The 20,755-nt window shown below is 39.0% G+C and overlaps 1 protein-coding gene across 17 annotated transcripts in view; it reads left to right on the top strand.

Annotated features, from left to right (window-relative positions):
- The window catches only part of ZNF385D (zinc finger protein 385D), a 960,546-nt gene that overhangs the window by 619,144 nt on the left and 320,647 nt on the right, over window positions 1-20,755 (top strand). For 2 of the 17 annotated variants that reach the window (NM_024697.3, XM_017007196.2), the window contains exon 1: window positions 2,410-2,725. The exons of 13 other annotated variants lie outside the window; for them this stretch is intronic. In NM_024697.3, the coding sequence (NP_078973.1) occupies window positions 2,704-2,725 (22 nt within the window). In that variant the 5' untranslated portion in view covers window positions 2,410-2,703. Of the gene's footprint in view, window positions 1-2,409; window positions 2,726-2,750; window positions 3,573-20,755 lie in introns of those variants that run through there. 2 more of the 17 variants (XM_017007197.2, XM_047448959.1) reach the window with 2 other exon arrangements.

Raw genomic sequence — 20,755 nt, 5'->3', positions numbered from 1 at the left:
AAGCCTTAATTGCAGGGAAGAGGGGCACATATCTTTAATTTAAAAGGGCATCTTCCTTTTCTGTTTGAACAGAATTACATTGTATAGATATTACACTCAATTGTTTCTGGAATGCCATATTCTTTCAAAGGCTACATGCTGTTTTTTGGGGTATACTACCAGGCAAAGATTGGCATGTTCTATTACCAGATGCTCCCTGCTGATGTATTTGTGACCATATAGATATATTTGTTTCTAGAACATGCAGTGACATTGTTTTATTGGGGGTGACTTTTACCTGAGCCATTATAAATAGCACATTTATTTGAAGAAGGAAACCTGTTGGAGAACTGTAATATAAATTCAACAAACAAATAGTAAGACAACTGTTTCTTACTCATCACATCATTAAGAAAGTTGCTTAACATCTCTGAGCCTCAGGTTCTTCATTTGTGACATCTGTAATATCCACCTTTCTATATCTCAATTTGTTAGTAATAAAGATGACATGTGAAAGTGCCTTTTAACTGTAAAATGTCATGCAAATGCAAGCGTGTTATTAATGATTAAGGTAGTCCTTTAATGTTTCAAATCTCCTATTTGAAACTCAACTCTCAATGCTTGCATCTTCCAACTACAGGAACTCAAATGGACCCAAAGCACTAACATTAAACTACAGTGCCCCCTAGCACATGTAGGAGGTCAAGGCAGCTTACAGGCTTCATGAATAAGCTCTACCACAGATGGTTCTTTTGCCTGAGGGAAGAACTACTAATTGTACTTTTGGACAATTTCCATTTGTCCAAAAGGAAAAAACATTTACGCATTTTCTTCAATACTTTCCCGTAACATTGTTTTTATTTTAATTTTTAAAAGGGAGTAAAAAAGTTAATATCCTTTACTATGTAAATTTTCCTCTGGTGGCTTTAAATTAAGAGTATTTCTAAAAGAACAGCCCTAGATTTATCTTAAGATTCACTGTGATGTTTCTGATTTATATTTGCTTACCTACTTTCACTCACCAAATTCTTTATAATCTAGCGTGAGAGAGGATATTGTTCATTGCACTCTTCACAGAGGTAGAATACAGTTAAGCTTTTATGCAAGATTGCACAGAAAGCCGTTATTATGAGCTTCAGCCCCCTAGTTTCTATGCACATTAAATCCACCAAGAGATATAGAATCGCGTAAGGAAATGCTATAGAATATTTTAATATCAAAATGTAGAAATCTTTGCTATCACACTTTTATAAAAGCCCAGATTAAAAATATATCAATTGCATTCTTCCATAGACTACAGTTCTTTGTTTATATTTGGTTCTTAATTTCATAAATGTCTATAGAAATTTATAAGTTCAAATGTTCCAGTACGTAAATTGGTTCCCAAAGTGATGAGTCCTTAGGAAACGGAACTTGCTGTATGAGTTTATTTTTTCCATGCTGTGCATTTAAGTATTAATCAGCACAGCTTTCAGGGATTTCTTTCTAATATCCTTTTCTATGTAAGATAAGGACTGCAATTCATTATACCATTGGAGGAGCCAGAGGCTTTGCTAAGCTTTGCCTTTCTTGACCGTTCATCTCAAATTTAATGAGAGCGTTGTGTGTGTGTGTGGTGGGGGGGGGAGGGGGGTGGGTGTGTGTGTGTGTGGCTATATTATATTGGTGACTGGACTCTAACTATGGCACAATGTTGGTTGCCTTTCAGGCTAATCGTCTCTCCGTTTCAGGAGGTCAAAGATCATTTCAGCCTCAGTGTGCTTTCTACCTGCCTACTAAGGGAGGCAGCAAATTTGGTCCTGGGCAACTGAGAGGTGACTTTTATCACCAGTTATTTTTCTTCACATCTTTCTATCAACATAATAGCTCAGGGAACACTCAAGAAATAAAAAATTACACTTCACCAAGTACTAGCTTTCTGGGATGTGATCACTTCTAAGTGTGAACCTCTATTACCCTAGCAGTGGTCCCTGGCGTTCCTTTTATTCCTCTTATATATAAACATCACAAAAAATAACAACAAACCCTCAAGCCCACAGCAAAGAGAATGCAAGCACGGCACCATCCCTCTTCGTACTGCCGTTTTAACTTGGTAGAGGAGGTTAAATTTTGGAGAGAATGGTGGCATTCACAGGAGGGGCGGGGTAAAAGTGTTGTCTAATTACACGTTAATGGCAGAACTCGCCTTAACCACGTCCCTCCTGCACAGTGGTGAATTTCTCCTGTGTGTTCCTGTGTGGATCCCGACACTCTTCTCGCTTTAAGAGAGCCTCCCGCGCCCCTCACTCCGCCCCTTCCCAAGTCTCTGGGCTCGTCAAAGCTTCCCGAGAGCCATGGTTGGTCCAGGCAGGCAGTCGGAGCACCTCGTGGAGCGGCTGCTAACCCAGGGTGGGGTGGGGTGGGGTGGAGGGGTCTGCTTGTAGTACTCTCAGTCCTGATGTCACAGGCGCGGCAAGGACATCGCAAGGAGGAGTCGGATTACAGTAAGGATGGGCAGTGCAGCAGGCAGCCCGAGCGCACTCTCCAGCCGCCGGGGATCTTAGCCCTGGAAAGGCAGCCTGCAAGGCGCTCATCCCGCGGAGGAGGCACGCTCTCGGCGCTCACTGCTCTCCACGCCGGGGACATTTCCACCGAATGTAGCATGAAAGGGCTCTGCTCTACGTGCCAGCCTTGGGTGAGAGCTGATGCTGAAGACACCGCGGTGGGATTCCAGCTGTCTGATTAATGAGAAACATAATGTATTTTGGTGAGTGTTCACTCTGATGATGTAATTCTGGGGGTGTCCGGCTCTTCATCCGTGCAGACAAGCCCTTAAAAAATTCTTTAAGCAGCAAGAATATGTTACATTAAACCTACCTCCAGTTGGCAACTGGAGGACCAAGCCGGTGCAGCCTTCAAAGCTTCCTTTGTGCCACAACTGGGGCTGTTAATTTAGCCGTGGATGAGTTTAAGTTGGAAAAGAAAAGAGACAGGGACATGTGGAGGGGGCGGGGGGGTAAACTTTGCCTTGATTTGCCTGAATGAAGTTGGCTCTTTTAGCTAGGTGAAGGAGAAATAGTGCAGCGTGGGAAGTCATGAGCTAACTTAATGGAATGTGAAACAAAGTTTCTATACAATTGATGCTGTGAAAGCTTAGTCAATATGAGCATTTCATTCAGTATTTGCTGGTTTTTCTTGTTCTGAGGCGGAAAAGGAAAACATTGTCTAGTGAGCAGTGTGGTTGAGCAGCTGAGAACACTTCTCTATATCATCTCAGTGCTCTGTCTAGCTAGGAGCAGCCTAGCACAAAATGCATATTATTTGAAACCTTTAGAGGTCTCGGAGATGTCAAATATTTGTGCAGGTCAGTTTTGTGCCACGGTAGAAACCTCAGTTAGGTTTTCAGTTGAGCTGCCTGCATTTCCAGAAAGCATGTTGAGGCTTGGATCCGAGCTATCAGTTGAGCACTGGAAGTGGGCTTGGAGCTGTGCATTTGCACTCTAACGCCGCAACTTACTGCTAGTACAGGAGGCAAGCCCCTTCACTAAATAAGAAGAAGTCAAAGATAAGGACTGAATATTTGTTCCTCCTCTCTGAAGTTATGCTTTCCTTCTGTAAGTCCTATCTGGCGTCATCATTTAAGGGCATCTATGCGATATTAAAAGGTTTGATAGAGCAACTGGAGAGGGGCTAGGAAATGTATCCAAGATGCAAATGCTCTGATTTCTTGGTTTGCTTTAAATATTAAATCTAGCGTCTTCTTTCAGATTAAAGAGGTATTTAGATAAACTTAGGTTGGGGCACTATTAGTTTGTTGGAAATTTATTTCTGTATGTACTATTTGCTCTGTTTTGTTTCCTTTAGGCTTTGAGACACTTGAGAGTGTGTGGAAGGAATCTAAGTTCCAAAAGCTAAATGCCTTTAGTTGTCTTGACAGTTTTGATTTGCCTATAATTTGTATCATATTAGAAGAGAAGTCTTAAAATAGCTGAAAATGATTTGGAAGAAACAATTTCATTGCATTGCCAAATTTAAGCAGAATCTGTAGTTAAAAACCATCTCTTTCCAGTGGGTAGTAATGGAGGTGGTAAGCTTGTTTATTGGCCACTAACAGAGTTTATCATGCATATATTTTCATAAATGGAAAAGCTTGTAAAGATAATAGGTCTTTTGGACAAAATACAATTTCAGCATCAGTAATGATACTGAAGGATGATGAAACAGATTATAATTTTAGTTTATATTTTCACCCTCTTGAAACAATTCCTTATGTGATCGTCGTGAGGAAGTAGGGCCAATTAGAATAGCAGTAGAGTCTAAAAGTACTGGTCAAAGGCCATCCATGCTGGACTGGATTATCGTGTGACTATTGGAGAAATGTTCAGTGGGCTAGCTTGTGTTATTAACTGTATGCTAGTTCAGCCTCTTGTAAAGCAGAGTGATTCATAGGGTAATCAATTTCATTGTGTAATGCAAGTTTTTAATAGTACGAATTGAAATGTGATGTCCTACTTACTTTAGATGAAACTCTACTCTTTGAAAGGCAAGGCTAAAGTTGCCCTCAGTGTCTTGAACATTGTCTTACCATAATTTTGGTATAAGAAATGTTTTTCTGCTCCCAGAGGAAATCCTATGTATTCAGGAATGCTGTTTCTTTCGGGTTATGCTATGCAGCTTCTCGTACAAGCTGTTAGATATCCACAACTTTGGGAGCCCACCTGTCTCTAAAAAAAAAATGTGTGGTACAAGAGCGAGGGCAAAAAGAATTGAGCAGTACACTTCAGGCATGTTAAAATTCAATAGCATCCTAATGTTTGAAAATGCTGAAGACTATGTATTTATATATGTATGTATGTACGCACACACATATATGTGTACATGTGTATGTATCTTAATGTGTGTGCGTGTTCAAAATTGTAGCGATTTCAGGTAATTTTTCCAAGCAATGCTTTCACTTTGCAAATTGGTTGGCCATTACTTTCTTCTTCATTTTTCAACTGCAAATGGTTTATCAAGTCAGGGAGAACAGGGACAAAGGGAAAGCAATGCTGCATTCTTAGGCTTTTCTGGTGACTTGTGAGAATGGGGTAGAGATGTCACAAATCCTTTATTTGTGTCCCCAGCAGAGCGTGATGAAGAGCATGGTGATGCTATGGTACGGGTGAATTGATATGAAAGCGGGATATTTACTTCCTTTATAAATCATCTGATTTGTCAGTGTTGCCCCCCACCCCCACCCCTTCAAATATAGCTGAAGAATCACTACCTGAATAGCCTGGCTCAGCCTATCTGCTTCAATTCATTCCTCCTTCCCCTTGGGACTGGACAACTGGACCCTGCCCTTGCTTAGTTGGAGTCAGTTGTGTGTGTGTGCAAGTTGGTGGAAGATGTAATATTTTCAGATCTCAAGAACAGCTCATGTTTGTAGTGTGCTGTCTCAGACTTGCCAGAATAATAGAGCTTTCTAATGACTTAAGCCTCACTCTTATCTCCTATTGAGATTTTAGTGCAGTGTTTTCAATAATCGTTCATTTGTACTTCCTGTGCTGTGATTTCAGAGTTTGCTGTTCAGTCACCGTGGACACTTTTGTTACTTATTCTATCAATCTTGGATCTTGCATTCACCATTTGGAGTTAAATATAAGGTTCACATGGGAGAAGGAAGCAGGGAAAATCTCAGTCAGCAACCTGAGTGGGATTTACTGTAAAAGCAAGGGAAAATAATAAATACTTATAAATTTACCCTCCCACCCCCATCAATGTTTTAGATAGTTAAAAATTACATGTGCCAAAGATGAATAGCCATTAATAATTTATCCAGAAATAAAAGCAAGGCAGCTGGGAGACTTCTCCCTAGATTAAGGAAGAGAGGCTGTGGGTGGTTGTCAGTACAATGGACTGAGCTGCCCAGTTACAGTTTGGTTAAGAGGACTGTGCTGGTATGAAGGGCAGGTTATTTGCTTGAGTGCACCCCAGCAATTGCTCAGCGCCTGGCAGAAGGTTGTAACTGTGCACTGTCTCCAGCTCTAAGCACCGTATGTTTGAATTGTCTCCCCATTTCCATCTGGCCTGACACATTTCTCCACTGCTGGATAGGTGAGTCGTTGCCAGTGGTCATGTCAACCACACAGATTCCCCATGGTTGGCCAGAGAGATGCCATGTCTCACCCTTTGCCATCAGGAGAGAAAATGGGAGGCTGATTGTGCTGAAGAAATTCTGTGTGGCTGCATATCAGGAAGCTTTCAGTTCTGAGTCAAGCAGGTAGAGACTGTGGTAAGCTTATAGCCAAGAAGGATCTGGGGCTTGCCCCCATGAGAATACTCCTAAAAAAAATGAAATGATACACTTTAAACAGAATTAAGAGGCAAATATTAGAGCTCTCCCTAAATGTTCCTATTAATGGCATATTAATTAAACCTAGAGAAAAGGGCAGGCAAAATTTAGAAAGTGTGAATGAATCATTCAAGTTCGCCTTGGTGTTAGTTGTGGATCAACTCTCTTCATTAAAATGCCTAAGGAAAATAGGAAAAACATTTGGTGGCATGCCTATAATAAAAACAAAACAAAACAAAAACCTCACTGAGGAAGCTTTTAATACAACAGCTAAAAAAAAAAAAAAAAGAAAATCTAGTAGGAAAATTCTAGGACAGAACCCTATTCCCCTGCCTATAATAGACGCATTTGTACATTGTCTTAGGAAGGACTTTTTTCCCCTGGGATGTTTAGAACATTCTCATGTCAGCACTTACACTTTTGGTTGTAGCTGGACCATCAAGTTCACCTCCAAACTAGTGTGTTAGAAAAATATTTAAATGGCAAGGTTATGAGGAAGGAAACGATCAGAAAGCAGCAGGCAGCAGAGAAAAACATTCCTTTTTAGTGGTTTCAGTGGAAACATTTAACTCCTTCTAATTAGTTTGTACTGAGTGATCTGTTATGAGGAATTAGGTCCACTCGACTATTTCTAAACACTCAGCCACTGTTTCTATCTCCCCGAAGCTGACAGGGGTGAGAATAATTCAGGAAGAAACTTCTATGTCTAAAGTCCCCCTTTTAAAGCGTGAAGTCCTGACCATTATGTCTTATTACAAATACATCTAAATTACATGCAATAAATTACTACAAAACAGGGCTGGAGAATGTTAACAGGTGAATACTATCAGAAAGGGTCATGAATAAGAACCTGAAATCTAAGATAACTTTAAAAGCCATAAAGATTTCTTCCTCAAGACTATTCTCTTTTTAATCTCATATGAAGTTCCTATTTTAAAAGCCAAATTCCAAATTTGATCAACATGCCAGTGACATGGATTCCTTATCACATCCTTAAATTTTAAGCTAGTTTTTTAAAAGGACCTCCACAGTTGTTGTAATTATATGGAAATGAGGTATGCTTATTTAAGGGATAAGTTCCAAAATTCATGAGCTAATGATGACTTGCAAAGTTACGCTTTCGTGGATGACATAGTTGTTCCAAAAAACAAATGACAAATTTAAATTAGTGGTTTCTGACTTCCATTCCGGAAGATTCGGTCACAGTTGCTTTTGACTGAACGCTCCGTTGATAAGACAAGATGTGTTGGTTGGTGTGTGTGTGTTTAATACTGGAATGTCAAATAGTTCCTTGTTATATATATAGACTTAATATTGTACTTCAGTCATAGCATTTATGTATTCCTGGATCTTTTCACATCATTTGAAATGTAATACATTAAGTATTGACTTAATAAGATAGACATTAAAGTACTTTTTAAGCACAGCTGGCTTTCAAGTTTAGCAACCATTATATACATTAGAGGTTTTAAAAATCAAGTCATAAGGATCATTTTCAAAGCTTTTCCTGCCTAAGAAAGCATGATGCTTGTATAAGCAGAAGCCTATTTCTACTTTGACCTTGAGAAAGGGATGTTTCCATTTGTATTGCACTAGGAAAAACATGTCAAAAAACAACAAAGGTCATAGTCCCTGCCCTCTCTCTTTCTGTCTGTCTCTCTTTAGAGAAGCCATTACATATCATTTCCCAAAAAGATTAGTTTTGCAACAGAATTTCACACATGATTGGTGGCATTAAGAGAAAATACAGCATAAGAGGTGGCTAGAAATATCAAAGCTTAAAGTGGTTGAGATCATGCTTGAACCAAATTGCTAGGATTGAAAATAGGAAGATGCTTTGCTCTGTCGCAGCGTTAAAATCGTTATGAAGCAGCTGGAAGTCAGCCCTGATTGCATATGAACTCCAGGCTTACACAGCCCTTGAAACGGAAGGTATTTTCATGAAACCCTCTTGATTCCAAAACCTCAAATGCATATGAACCTGTATTAGGGCATTGGCTGGGATGTAGTGAATCTCTTTTCTTTCTTATCAATCTTTCAGTTTTTTCTTTTTTTGCCCACATGTAATATCACATTTCTGTAAGTGGAGAGGAAAAAGAAAAGTAACCTGGCCAAGGTCAGAAAGGAAATTCGCAGCAGTATCAGGATTGATGCTCACAGAAAATGCTGTCTGCCCCACAGGAAGATGGGTGCTATGGGGGCAGGAATGGGGTTGGTAGGCTGAGAGTTTTTAATGGATAAATGTTGTTTAATCTATGTCCTCAGCACTCTTGTTAGTGCCAGGCACTTAGAAATATGTGTTGGATGTGCAAGACTGAATGGGTGTGGGAGAGCAGAGAGGAAGGGAATCCACTTCCTCCACGCATTCCCTAAGGCTGATATTCCCTATGAAAGCTAGTACTCGGGCATTGACAAGAGAAACAGTCCCTTTTGCTGCTGAAACACTAGCTTTTTTTATTATTATTTTTTTTATTTTTTTTAACCCAAGTCCTAGTAAGGACAAGGCCATAGAAATTAAATTTTAAATTAAATGTGATAAATTCCATAATCTTTTTTTCTGTTTCTAGTTGCTTCTTTCATAGGACTCTGCAGTGTAAAGCCGGTGTTAACTCTATAGAATATTAAGGCCAATGTACAAAAATGTCTGAAAAATACTTAAAATTATATAAGATAGCAAAATTATAGTTAATAGCAACTCACCTGATACAATTTCAGTTTTCAGCTTTCACTTTGCTTAAGTGAATTTTCTCCAGATGTTGGCATTCCCTTGCCAGCAGGCTGGGATGGGCATAAAAGACCCTATATGCACAAGTAGCTGAAAATGTTTAGGAAGGTCTCCAGTTTTGAAGGTTGTCATTTATGATGGCAGAAGAAAATGAATACAATTTTGCCTACAATTTGCAGGGCTTTAGTAAAGTTGCTCTTCACACTTACCTTTTTTCATATTCATGGATTTTGCTGATGAGGGAAAGTGGTTGTAGCAGATTGCTCTGAGGATAAAAACGCAATAAGGAATGTAAATGTACTTTAATAAACATGATCCCTTACACTTGTATAGCAATTTGTATTTTTCAAAGTGTGTCAACATTTTGCTTTTTTTATCTTCAAAATGACCCATTGTGGGAAGTAGACAAAATATAATTATTCCTATTTTTAGATGAGGAATTTGAGCCACAGATGACTGAAACAACTTTCTCAAGGTCACAAAGCTAGTGACTGTTAAGGTGTAGACTCTATGTCAATACTTCTGAGACTTACTTCAGTGCTCTTTACAATGGAGAATGGGGGTAGGGAGATATTTTTATGAATGGAAGATTATTTGTAACAGTAATACTTGAAAACATTCTCCAGCCAATAGCTTGAGAAATGAGTCAAATAATTGGGATCCAATATGCGTTTGTGTTTTGACTTGACTTTGTGAAATTACAATTCATAACAGAAATCTGAACATAATTTATAATTTTATTCTGCCTTGTCTTTTTACATCAAATCATTAATAGTCAGAAAATATGAATTCTGCTTAGAAGGCATGCATCGGTGTTATGGACTGAATGTTTGTGTCCCTGTTTCCCAAACGTATAAATTGAAGCCCTAATTCCTAATATGATAGTATGGAGGTGGGGCCTGTGGGAGGTAATTAAGTTTAGATGAAGCCATTTGGGTGGAACCCTCAGGATGGGATTAGTGTCCTTATAAGAAAAGGAAGATGTGAGAGCTTCCTCTTTCCACCATTTGAGGCTGTAGCAAGAACGTAACTGCTGCAAGCCAGGAAGAAAGCCTAACCAAAACCAAACCAGGCCTACGCCTTGAACTTGGACTGCCCAGCCTCCAGAACCGTGAGAAATAAATGTCAGTTGTTTAAGCCCTCCAGTCTGTGGTTTTTTGTCATGGCAGCCAGAACAGATTAAGACAGTTGGCCTCAGGCAGGAAGGATCCAGGCTTTCTCTACTGCCTCAGTTCCTCTAGTGTCTATATTTAGTGTAGATAGTAAAGCTTATATTAATTGTATACTGTATGTTTTTGCTGTCTCACTATTTAACTCAATGCTTATAAAAAAAGTCCAAATTAGCTGTGCTACGATCTCTTTGATATTTACAGTGACCCCATCTCTACCATTTGTTCAAGATGGAATCCCAGTCTAGTCTTTGTTCCATGACTGATAAGTAGGAAAAATGGCCTACTTTACAGTTGTATCTCTTCCATTCAGTAGTGCTGTGTCCTTGGGAAAGTCATCTCACATTTGTAAAGTTTTGTTTCTTTGTAAAAGGAGAATAATAATAATATAATAATGTTTCTCACGGTTCTATTTGGAGAACTAAAATATGCTATACACATAAAAGTGCCTAGCACTGGAAAGTACATGGTAAACAGTTAAGCTTAATTCTTTATTTCTTTTTCTCCAACTCATATACAAATGTATGAAAATTGAGAAAAGTGATTTTGCCTGTTGGGGTCAAACTAGGAACCATGCTTAGTAAATTACATAGAAATAATTTAATGTAGATAATTTGGTATATAGGTGATAGAAGAGCTGAAAAGCCACATGGGGAATGGTGAGACAATTCATAGAGTAGCAATCGCAAGAAACTGGTAGTTATAGATGGAAACACAAGAGAGACTCCTGAAGGCCAGGGCCCAGGGCCTCCTGGCAGGAGCAGGAATCATAGAGGGGATCCCACATTACACTCAGAGAGAGACAGAAAAATACCCTGGTTTCTCCCTTTCTCTTGCCCTCCAATCCATTGCCTTCTGCCGCTCATTGGTAGAACTGAGCCGAGGCCGACTGAGGTGGCCTGGGAAATGTATCCTGCAGGCTTTAGCCTCTACGTCTGTAGCTTAGAGGAAGAGCAAGAATAGATCTCAGGACAAATTGGCCAAAGACCTGCAGAGAGATCTTGCCCCTGATCTATAAGTAGCAATTTAAATGGGAGAGTATTTCTGCAAAGCCACCTCAAGTATCAGTAAGAGTTTGGTTGGGGAAGATACACTTAAGAGGGAAAGGAAGTATGGTTCAAGAGCTTTTGGCAGCTCTTCACCAATCCTCCTGGTTCAAGTATGTACTTTGTCACTTTCTGGTAGCACGGCTTTGGACAAATTAGTGAATCTTTCTTTGCATCAGTACTTAATACAATCAGTTGAAAAGTCTGACAGTGAAGTGTAATGAAATTTGAATACAAACTTTATAATCTCCAAAGCACTGTATAAATGGACCTTGTTATGAAGGTGTGAAAAGCCAAGTGAATTAGTAAAAGAAGTGGGGAGTTTGAAAAATAACAACTTGGAAATAAATGTTCAGCTATGCAGTTTAACATTCCAGCAGAGATTTCTGAGGACATTGAGGGAAGAAGCATTTCGTTACTTCATCAAATAGCCTCTTGTATTGTGGTTTCAATATACCTTAGAGGCCACATCTAATCTATTCTTTGTCATTTTTCTATACCAATGGGAGAGTTCAGACTTAGAGGCAGGAAGAGAAAGCGAGCAGGGCAGGAACCCTGAGATTCCATGCCCCATACTCTTTCCCCTGCAAGACTCTAATGGGGATGGACATATTGAAAACTGAGAGAGTTTATTAATAATTGCTTAGGAATTGAAGAGGAATTCGGTATTGATTTTTATCTATTCCTCCATGTGTTGCTGGACTTTTAAAGACAGATTTCTTTGGCTGAATGGACCTACTATTTAAAAAAAAAAACAAGGCAAAATATTCTGCCCTTCCTGTATAGAATTATTAGGATTTCTCCCAAGGTCTGCTTGTAAAGTCCTGTGACAATTTACAACTTATGACGCTCTTGTTTTGAGGTACCACCATGGTAACTGCTGGGAAGTGTTTCCCTTGCAGCACACAATAAGGAAGTCACCGTTACCATCACGTGTTTTAATTAGCTGCCCTGAGGAATGGTGGGCTATAGCTTAGAGGTCTGTGGGCATTCTTAGGATTTGTATACTAAGGAAAATGTATCAGTTAAAAGGTAAATTGGAAGGCAGATTGATTAATTTTTTTCCTTTAAAAGAAAAGTTGTGTAGGATCCTAAATACTAACCTGGTGAATCACTTCGTTTATGGCACCCATCTGGTTTTTTTCTCACTTTTAAATCAATAAGTACAAATACTGTAGTGAGAAGCTTAAGGCATGAGCTTTATGGACCTCTTGGTTTCCTTTGAGAATTCTCAGCTTCCCTTTGTGAACAGCCCTGATGCCGATAGGTGATAACAGGTGATGTGGCCACTGCTCACAGAAGAAGAATTGAATATGGGATGAATGCCTGCTGTGCCAGGCACTGCCATGAGTTATTCCATTGGCACCTCACCACCAGCCTTAAGGGGAACATCAGTGGATCTAAACCCTGGCTGTACAAAAGAATCACCTGGGGAACTTTGAAATGATACTAATGTCAAAGCGCTATCCCGGTCCAGTATAACCAAATTCTCTGAAGGTGGAGTCAGGCATCTGCATTTTCATTTAATACCCCTCAGTTAATTATGAAGGACAGCCAGAATTAAGAACCACTGAGATGGGAAATTTTAACCATTTTACAGTAAGCATCCTGAGGCCCTGGGAAGTTCCACATTGCCCCAGGTCACCTAGGCAGCAGTTGGCTGGGTCAGGATTCCAGCCCAAGTCAGTCTGAGTTCAAAGCCTGGGTTCTTTCCCCACGACACATTGTCTCCTCTCACGGAAATCAGTGTATGGCATGACGTGTGGGCCTGATTACACATTGCCTGTGCTGCCCATCCCTGGTTTCCACAGTGAACATCCCTAATGGCTGGGAACCCTTCCTTTCTACTTGGGATCCTTTATAGAGCTGGTACCCAAAAGAAGTCCATATTACAGTAGTTGATTCAGGATCACAGTAATATAGTTCTGGAAAGGATTTTGAAATCTTGCTTCCCAAAACTTAGTGTTTGTACAAATTACCTGAAGATTATATTATAATATAGATCCTGACTCAGTGGGTCTGAGATGTGGCCTGAGATTCTGCCTTTCTAACAAGCTCCCAGACGTTAAATGTTCCTGGTCCACCCACTGGTCACACTTTGAGTAGTTATGCTGTAGAGGCCAGTTAGATGAGCTACCACTTTATGCACATGTGGGAAATCAGGTCTAAGTTTCCAACCTTAGTATACTTATTTCTATTCTACAAGACACCGCATGGTCCATGGTTTGAGCTCCAATTACGGTGACAAATGATTCCATGTTGCCTGGGACTTAGAGGGTTTTCAGGATGTTGGACTTCCCGTGTCAAAACAGAAAGTTTCATGTGTACTGGGATGAACTGGTCACTCTAGTTTCTGTAGACTGAATTTGAACCTTAGATTCAACTCTCAAGACTGGGGAGAAGTTGGGCAAGCAACTTGATCTCTTTGAGCCTCCGTTTCTTAATCTGTGAAGCAGGAATAATAAATGATACTCTATAGAGTGTTTGTAAGGATTAACTTAGATGGCATATGGAAAGCACTGGAAACACTGTCACCAGGTTCACTTTCAGTAAATGTTCACAGTGGTTATTGCTGCTTATAGACCTGACTCGGTACTCCCTTCCATTACTGAAAAGAAGAAGAAATACCCCAAAGATCAATTGCAGGTGACCATGGATCATCTTTATTGCATCATCTCTGTACAAGGAGGGCAGCTTTTAAATCATCTCCTGCCCTTGTTATGATGGGCAAGCTGGAATGAAGTCATTCTTCATTGTACACTTTGCCTACCCCGAACATCAATACTAATGTTTTTTTGTTCGCTGCTTAGGGAAAGAAATGCCTGGCTAAGACTTTACCACCTTGGGACATTCTGATCTGGCCCCTCATGTTCCTGTCGACCTTGTTTATCCATTAGTGTTTCTCTGAGCTCTGTAACAACTTATGAGGGCGGCTGCAGCTAATGACTGTGCCTTCCATCTCCTGACCCGTCATTGTGTTAACAATCGATATCCTTAAAACAACACACACAGTCAAGGCAGCTCCTCCACCGCAGCTTCCATTAAAAATGTCCGTGGAGAGAAAGAGAGAAAAATGTTTAACTCATGCACTTCCTAGCACAGAGCCTGGCACAAGAACATCGGATTCGTAAATGTTTATGGAGTGTGATAGCAAGCTGTGGGAATCTGTCTCTGATGCAAGTGACTTTTCGGTAGTGACTAGAGTCTACCACTTAGACCTCTACTTCCCCTTGCTCAGTTGGATGGTGTTGAGAGAATGAGGCTGGCTTTGCCAGTCACTACCCAGGAAAGCCGATTCCCTCACCTCCTGTCAAATGCCATACGCTTCTGAGAGCATTTAGTCGGCTAGATATGTGATGATTAGTTGGGAAGCAAAGTGCACTTTTGTTTTTCTATTATCACTGGTAAGTGGGGAAGCTACAAGCAGTCGATTATTCCACAATAGAGGTTACTCAGCCCAAACTGCTGCTGACTAGTATTTTAAACAAGAAAACAAATGAACAACAAAGCAGAAGCTACTCTTGCTTTCTTTAAGTATAAAATGCAATTGCAGAAAGGACCCAACATAATCACACTTTTGTTTATTTCCATTTTAGAGGTAAAATTGGGAGATTTTTGTCTCTATTTTCAACACTGCTTACTGTAGTTAAAGCCTTCTGAAAGGGGATTAAACATAAGGGGCCAAAAGTCTCCATTTCATGGACAGAAAAATAGAGGCCAAGTGATTAGTAAATGTTCATATTTGGCTCTTATTAATACTCAAACATTAAAACCCAGGTCCTGAGATAGGGATGTGAATTTGGGTGAATTGTCCTGAGCCTCAGCTTCCGAATCAGTTGAGATAATAATGGCAACTCACCCTACTTCACAAGGCAGAGGTGTAACTTACTAATAATAGCTAAGATTTAGTAAGTGCTTAGTCCCTGACAGCCACTTTTGTAAGTATGGCAACCCAAACAGTCTTCACAACAGCCCTGTTATGGAAGAATTATCAGTATTCCTGTTTTTAAATGGGAAGACCAAGGTACAGTGAGATTAAAATGAGACTAAAATCAGTGGCCAAGTCAGATCATACCCAAGATGTCTGGCTGCATAACACAGACCTCCTCACCACACCTTTCTATGTGACCTTGAATAAATTCCAGTCTCTGACAACTCAAACCTAGGAGCGTATTCTCACCATTCCAATAGAGCAGCAGTTGTTTGAAGAAGGCAACAAACTCACAAGAGAACCAATGCACAAACAAAACTCCTCTCAGTGTACAAGCCAAGCAGCCCCCTGGCAGGTGGGGCCTGAGGCTGAGATCAGGGAAAGACTCCAGGTCCCTTTCAGGAAGTCTGCACAGGGCTGGAGATATAAAATCCTGTTCATGGAACATACAGCACCAACCCCTGTAATTCTCCAAAATTGTGACTTACACATAACGCTAATCACAGTGATGGCCGTCTATCTTTACGTGAGTGCTGTGAGCTAGGAGATGTGCTATGGCCTTTACCTGTGTGAGTTTGTGCCTGATAGAAGAACCATACTCTTCCAAATGGAGCAACAGTCTTCTTTCTTGCTCTCTTCTTCCTGGGCACATCAGGCAATGTGCCACATGTGCAGTGATCCTTCCTATCAGATAGTAATCCAAACACCTTTTAGACCCTTTTAGACCCAGGAACTGAGAGAGAACATGTACTCTTTGAATATGTTCAATAGAATATTTTTGTACTTTTTGAAAAAGTAATACAGTACAGTTTTTAAATTGAGAATTATAAAAGTATAAATAGTGAAAACTAAATCCCCCCCACCAACCACCATAGGTGCATTTTGTTGTATTTGAGAGACTAAATTCTATGGAAGGGAGTGTGTGTATATATTTCGTATACATACGTATCTATCTATCTTATGTGTATGTGTGTGTGTGTGTGTGTGTGTATATATATCCCCCTCTTGTTTATACATATAATGGAAGTAACCTGTGTACCTTGTTTTGCATATTGTTTTATGTATCGTATACTGATTCTCATTCTTTTTATTTTATGGCTACATGGTATCTAATGATTTATTTTGCTGGCCTTCAAAAAATAAGTTATTTCTATTATTTTACTAGTAAAAACAATGACTATCATAGTGCATAATAATTCTTTGTTACATGGACACATGTATCTATCTATAGAAGTAGGATTGCTGTCCCAGCACTTTAGGAGGCCAAGGCAGGCGGATCACTTGAGGTCAGGAGTTCAAGACCAGCCTGGCCAACATGGTGAAACTCCGTTCCTACTAAAAATACAAAAATTATCCAGGCGTGGTGGCAAGCGCCTGTTATCCCAGTTACTCGGGAGGCTGAGGCAGAAGATTCACTTGAACCCAGGAGGCAGAGGTTGCAGTGAGCCGAGATTGTGCCACTGTACTCCAGCCTGGGCGACGGAGCGAGACTCCGCCTCAAAAAAAGAAAAAAAGAAATGGGATTGCTGGGAAAAGGCATATTTAATCCTTACGCTTATTGCCAAAATGCCCTATGGAAATTTTTTATTGATGAATTTCTACATATATTTCTATCATTAAAAAGTAGAATAATTGCTTTTAAACTGACAAACTGCCTTGAAGACCTCTTAGAGCATGGATTTGTAGGATAGAACAGCATGAAACAGCTTCTGCTTTTTTGTCCTTGCTCTCCCCTCCCCAGTCTACTTCTCTATTTCACTTCTATTCTGCTAATTCCATATGGATGTTAGTCTGGTTATTCAAAAAGGCAGTGGTGCCATAAAGTTGAAAGACGTCCTGTGCTTTACAAATGGGGATAAATGCAACAAGGAGAACGCACTTTGTAAGTGAAATTTTACCCTTCTGCTTCAAAACCAGAAGGTTGATCCTTGAAAGATCTCTGAAGGTAGTTATAAAACCAAAGGTAGTTTTAAATACGGTTAGAAATTTTCTTTAAACAGTCGGTGGGCATTAAGAGGCAAAACCACATTTATATTATTCCACATTTCAGTGATTCTTTCTTATATTTCTAATTCCATACTTTTTAAAAAAATAATTTTTATTTAGCACACAATAGGCTTAGAAATAAACTGGAGTATCTATAGCATGTCTTTATGGTAAAAAAAGGAAGATGTCACCTTTATCAAGGAAACAAAATTTCCAAGCAGCGATGATGTCACCATCTATTGAGCTCTTGAGCTGTTTACAAACATGCACTCATTTACTCCTTAAAGCAAGGCTGTTGTTTTAATGACTAGATGTCATTATCTCTATTTTACAAAAAAGGCAATTTCAGGAAGCTTAAGAAGGTTAAGTTTCCCACCAAGGAAGAGGGAAATAGATTGAAAATGTCATGCAAAGGATTCAGTCCAAGACTTTCTGAGTAGACAACTTGAGTGCCAAAATACTGGCACTACCCTTTGTTATTTTCTGTCCAGCACACAATTCTTGGGCCACTTCTGTGGAATCTTGGTAGTAGGGACATTTATGTAAAGTAGAGGTGCTCATTTTCCCAGCCCTTGCTGTTAGAGTCTTCAGGACAATCATAGCAATCCCTGCTAAAGTATGAACAATACTCAAAGCCCAATCCTACAAGAAAGACTGTGAGGAGGACAAGGCAACCAATCAGCTTTTCTCTTGTGTTGGAGAGATATTCTCCAATTACCTGCTGTCTCTTTGTACTATGCCTTGCAGTTCCCAGAGATGTCGAAGCAACAAAAATTAAGTGAAGGAAAGCGGTCAATCACTGCACTTAATGATATGCTAATTAGGAATGCTGTGTAGAAATCAGTCTAGCGTCCTAATTTACATCCCCTCTGTTCATTGAGCCATTTAACATTCTCCCCCATCCTGGTGACTGTGTAGGCATTTTGTAATATCCAATAGAAGAATTTTATATATACATGGCACCTTGGAATCACATCTGACATCTTTATATGTAAGGATGTCACCTTATATACTTCACCTTATGTTTAAGATAAGAAAAATGAAGATTAACAAATTTAATTGCCTAGCCCGAATAAGCAACCAGTAGTGAGTGGCACAAATAGGGCCGCCTAGAATTCAGATCTGTTGACTACTTCCTAGTATTGTTTGTTCTCCTAGGGATATAAGGGATGGTCATTGGTTCATCGTCTTGTTATTTCTTCACCACACTTCTAGGAGATGAGTATTATCCTTTTCATTTTACAGATTTAAAAAACTGACATTAAGTTACTTTTCCAATGTCATATAGAGTGTGGAGGAACAAGAAGGTGACTCTTTGCTTACTGAATTCAAACCTCCAGCCTGCCATTATTTGCATTAGGATTGAATGTGGGTAGATCTCTGCACTCGGCAGAGTCTAAATGAATTCAAAGATCCCTCCCGGCCCTAAAATTTTCTGATCCTACATAGCTGTGGGGATAAAAGGGTGGAACTTGTTGGAGCAATAAATCACTGCAGCCCACACGAGTCCCAAAGGCATGATCAAGTCTCCCTCATTCCATTCCTCACTGTCAGCAGTGTGCATCATTTATCTCTAGTAAATGCAATAATCATCCCTAATGAGTTTCCTGACTTGATTCTCTTATGCTTCCACCTCAAACAAAACTTGGCTGTCCCATGGTATAGCTACAGACAAGCTAATCCCACAACACAGAGACACATATGAAAATGCCTCCAAAGGTTCTTATTTCCTGACACGTGGGGTCCAAATTTCTTATCTAGGTGATCAGTGCAGCCCAGGTTTTGGCTCAAATTTACCTTGAAGTTTTATTTTTACGAAACTCTCCTTACCTCATCCTGAGGTCCAGCCCTGCAGAATCACTCCTCATTTCTTAACCTTCTGTGTCTTTACCTCATGTTGTCCATCTTACTTGATGCATAGTTTTTTTTTTCCCCACTGTATTTCCAAAAATGTAAACGCTCATTTTTATTCACTGTTAGTCTCTTCTGTCTTTGAAATATCTTATATAAGAGCATATAAATCTCACAAATTCATCAATAAGGTTCATTGCAAATGGCACCTTCTTTAGGATGACCATCTAAAATAAAAGTTTTTTAAAAAAGAAAAACAAAAAAAATCTTTACAAAAAGTAATTATTCTTTTCTCTGAATTCCCGTGTTTCTCCAACATATCTGAAAAAAAAAACCCTGAGTGTTCTGGGTTTCCTACTGCCTAGTCTGGATCTACGCAATCAGAATCTTCATGGATAGAGCCCAGGAATCAGTATTTTCACAAACTCTTCGCTAATATCACAAGATTGTTGGCTCTCTATAAGTTAATGTATAAGCATAATGCAATTGCATTCAAAATACTAATAGTATTTGATCTTGAACTAGGCAGAGTGATACTATAATTTATCTGAAAGAAGAAACATAAGTGAATATTCTCTGAAATTATGAAAAAAGAGTGTTCTGACGGGGAAGCATATTCTAAAATATACCAAAAAAACATAATAATTAAATAATTTGGTCTTGAATAATAGACAAATATGAAAACCATATTAGGACATTAAAAAGTAAATCTCAATACTTTTATATATGGGGATTTAGGCTATGATAAAACTGATATTTCAATTCACTGGTAAAACAGAAACTCTTAAATAAATAGGGGACAACTGGATACACATTTAGACAAATAAGTAAAGTGGATTCCTATTTCACTTCTTACACTGAAATAAATTGCAGATTGAACAAAGATTCAAACATAAAAATTTAAGCTATAAATACATAGAAGAAAGCAAGGGTGAATAAATTTATACACTTGCAGTGGAAAGTCTTTGTAATCAGGACACAAACCCAGAATCACAAAAGAGAAAAATGACAAATTTAACTACATAAAATTAATAACTTGTGCTTGGAAAAATAATTCATAAATTAAGTTTAAAAAAGAGACAAAGTTAGAAAACAGTATTTACAACACCAATGTCAGACACATGGCTAATTTCATTCATTAACAAAGAGCTTATAAGAATCAATAAAGAAAGATAAACAACTAAGAAAAATTGATGAAGAATATGAACAAACATTGACAAGCTTATTCTAAAGTTTCTGTGGAGAGGCAAAAGACCTAGAGAGCCAACATAATATTGAAGGAGGACAAAGTTGAAGGACTGACACTACCCTACTTCAGAGCTTACTATAAAGCTACAATAATCAAGATATTGTGGTATTGGTGAAAGAATAAACAATAGGTCAATAGAACAGAAGAGAAAGTTCAGAAATAGACTGATGTAAAGATAAGCAACTGGTCTTTGACAAAAGAGCAAAGAAAATATAATGGAAAAAGTCTTTTCAAAAAATGGTGCTGAAACCAACGGACATCCACTTGAAAAAAAAATGAATTTAGACAAAGACCTTATACTCTTCACAAAAAGTAATTCAAAATGGATCACACACATAAATGTAAAATGCAAAACTATAAAACTCCTGGAAAATAACATAGAAGAAAATCTAGAGGACCTTGGATTTGGTGATGACCTTTTAGATGCAATGCCAAGCCATGATCCACGAAAGACGGAATTGATAAGCGGGACTTCATCAAAATTTTAAACATTCTGCTGTGAAAGA

Source organism: Homo sapiens, chromosome 3 (assembly GCF_000001405.40).
Source record: "Homo sapiens chromosome 3, GRCh38.p14 Primary Assembly".
NCBI classification, from domain to species: Eukaryota; Metazoa; Chordata; class Mammalia; order Primates; family Hominidae; genus Homo; species Homo sapiens.
This window is presented reverse-complemented; position numbering and strand designations above follow the sequence as displayed.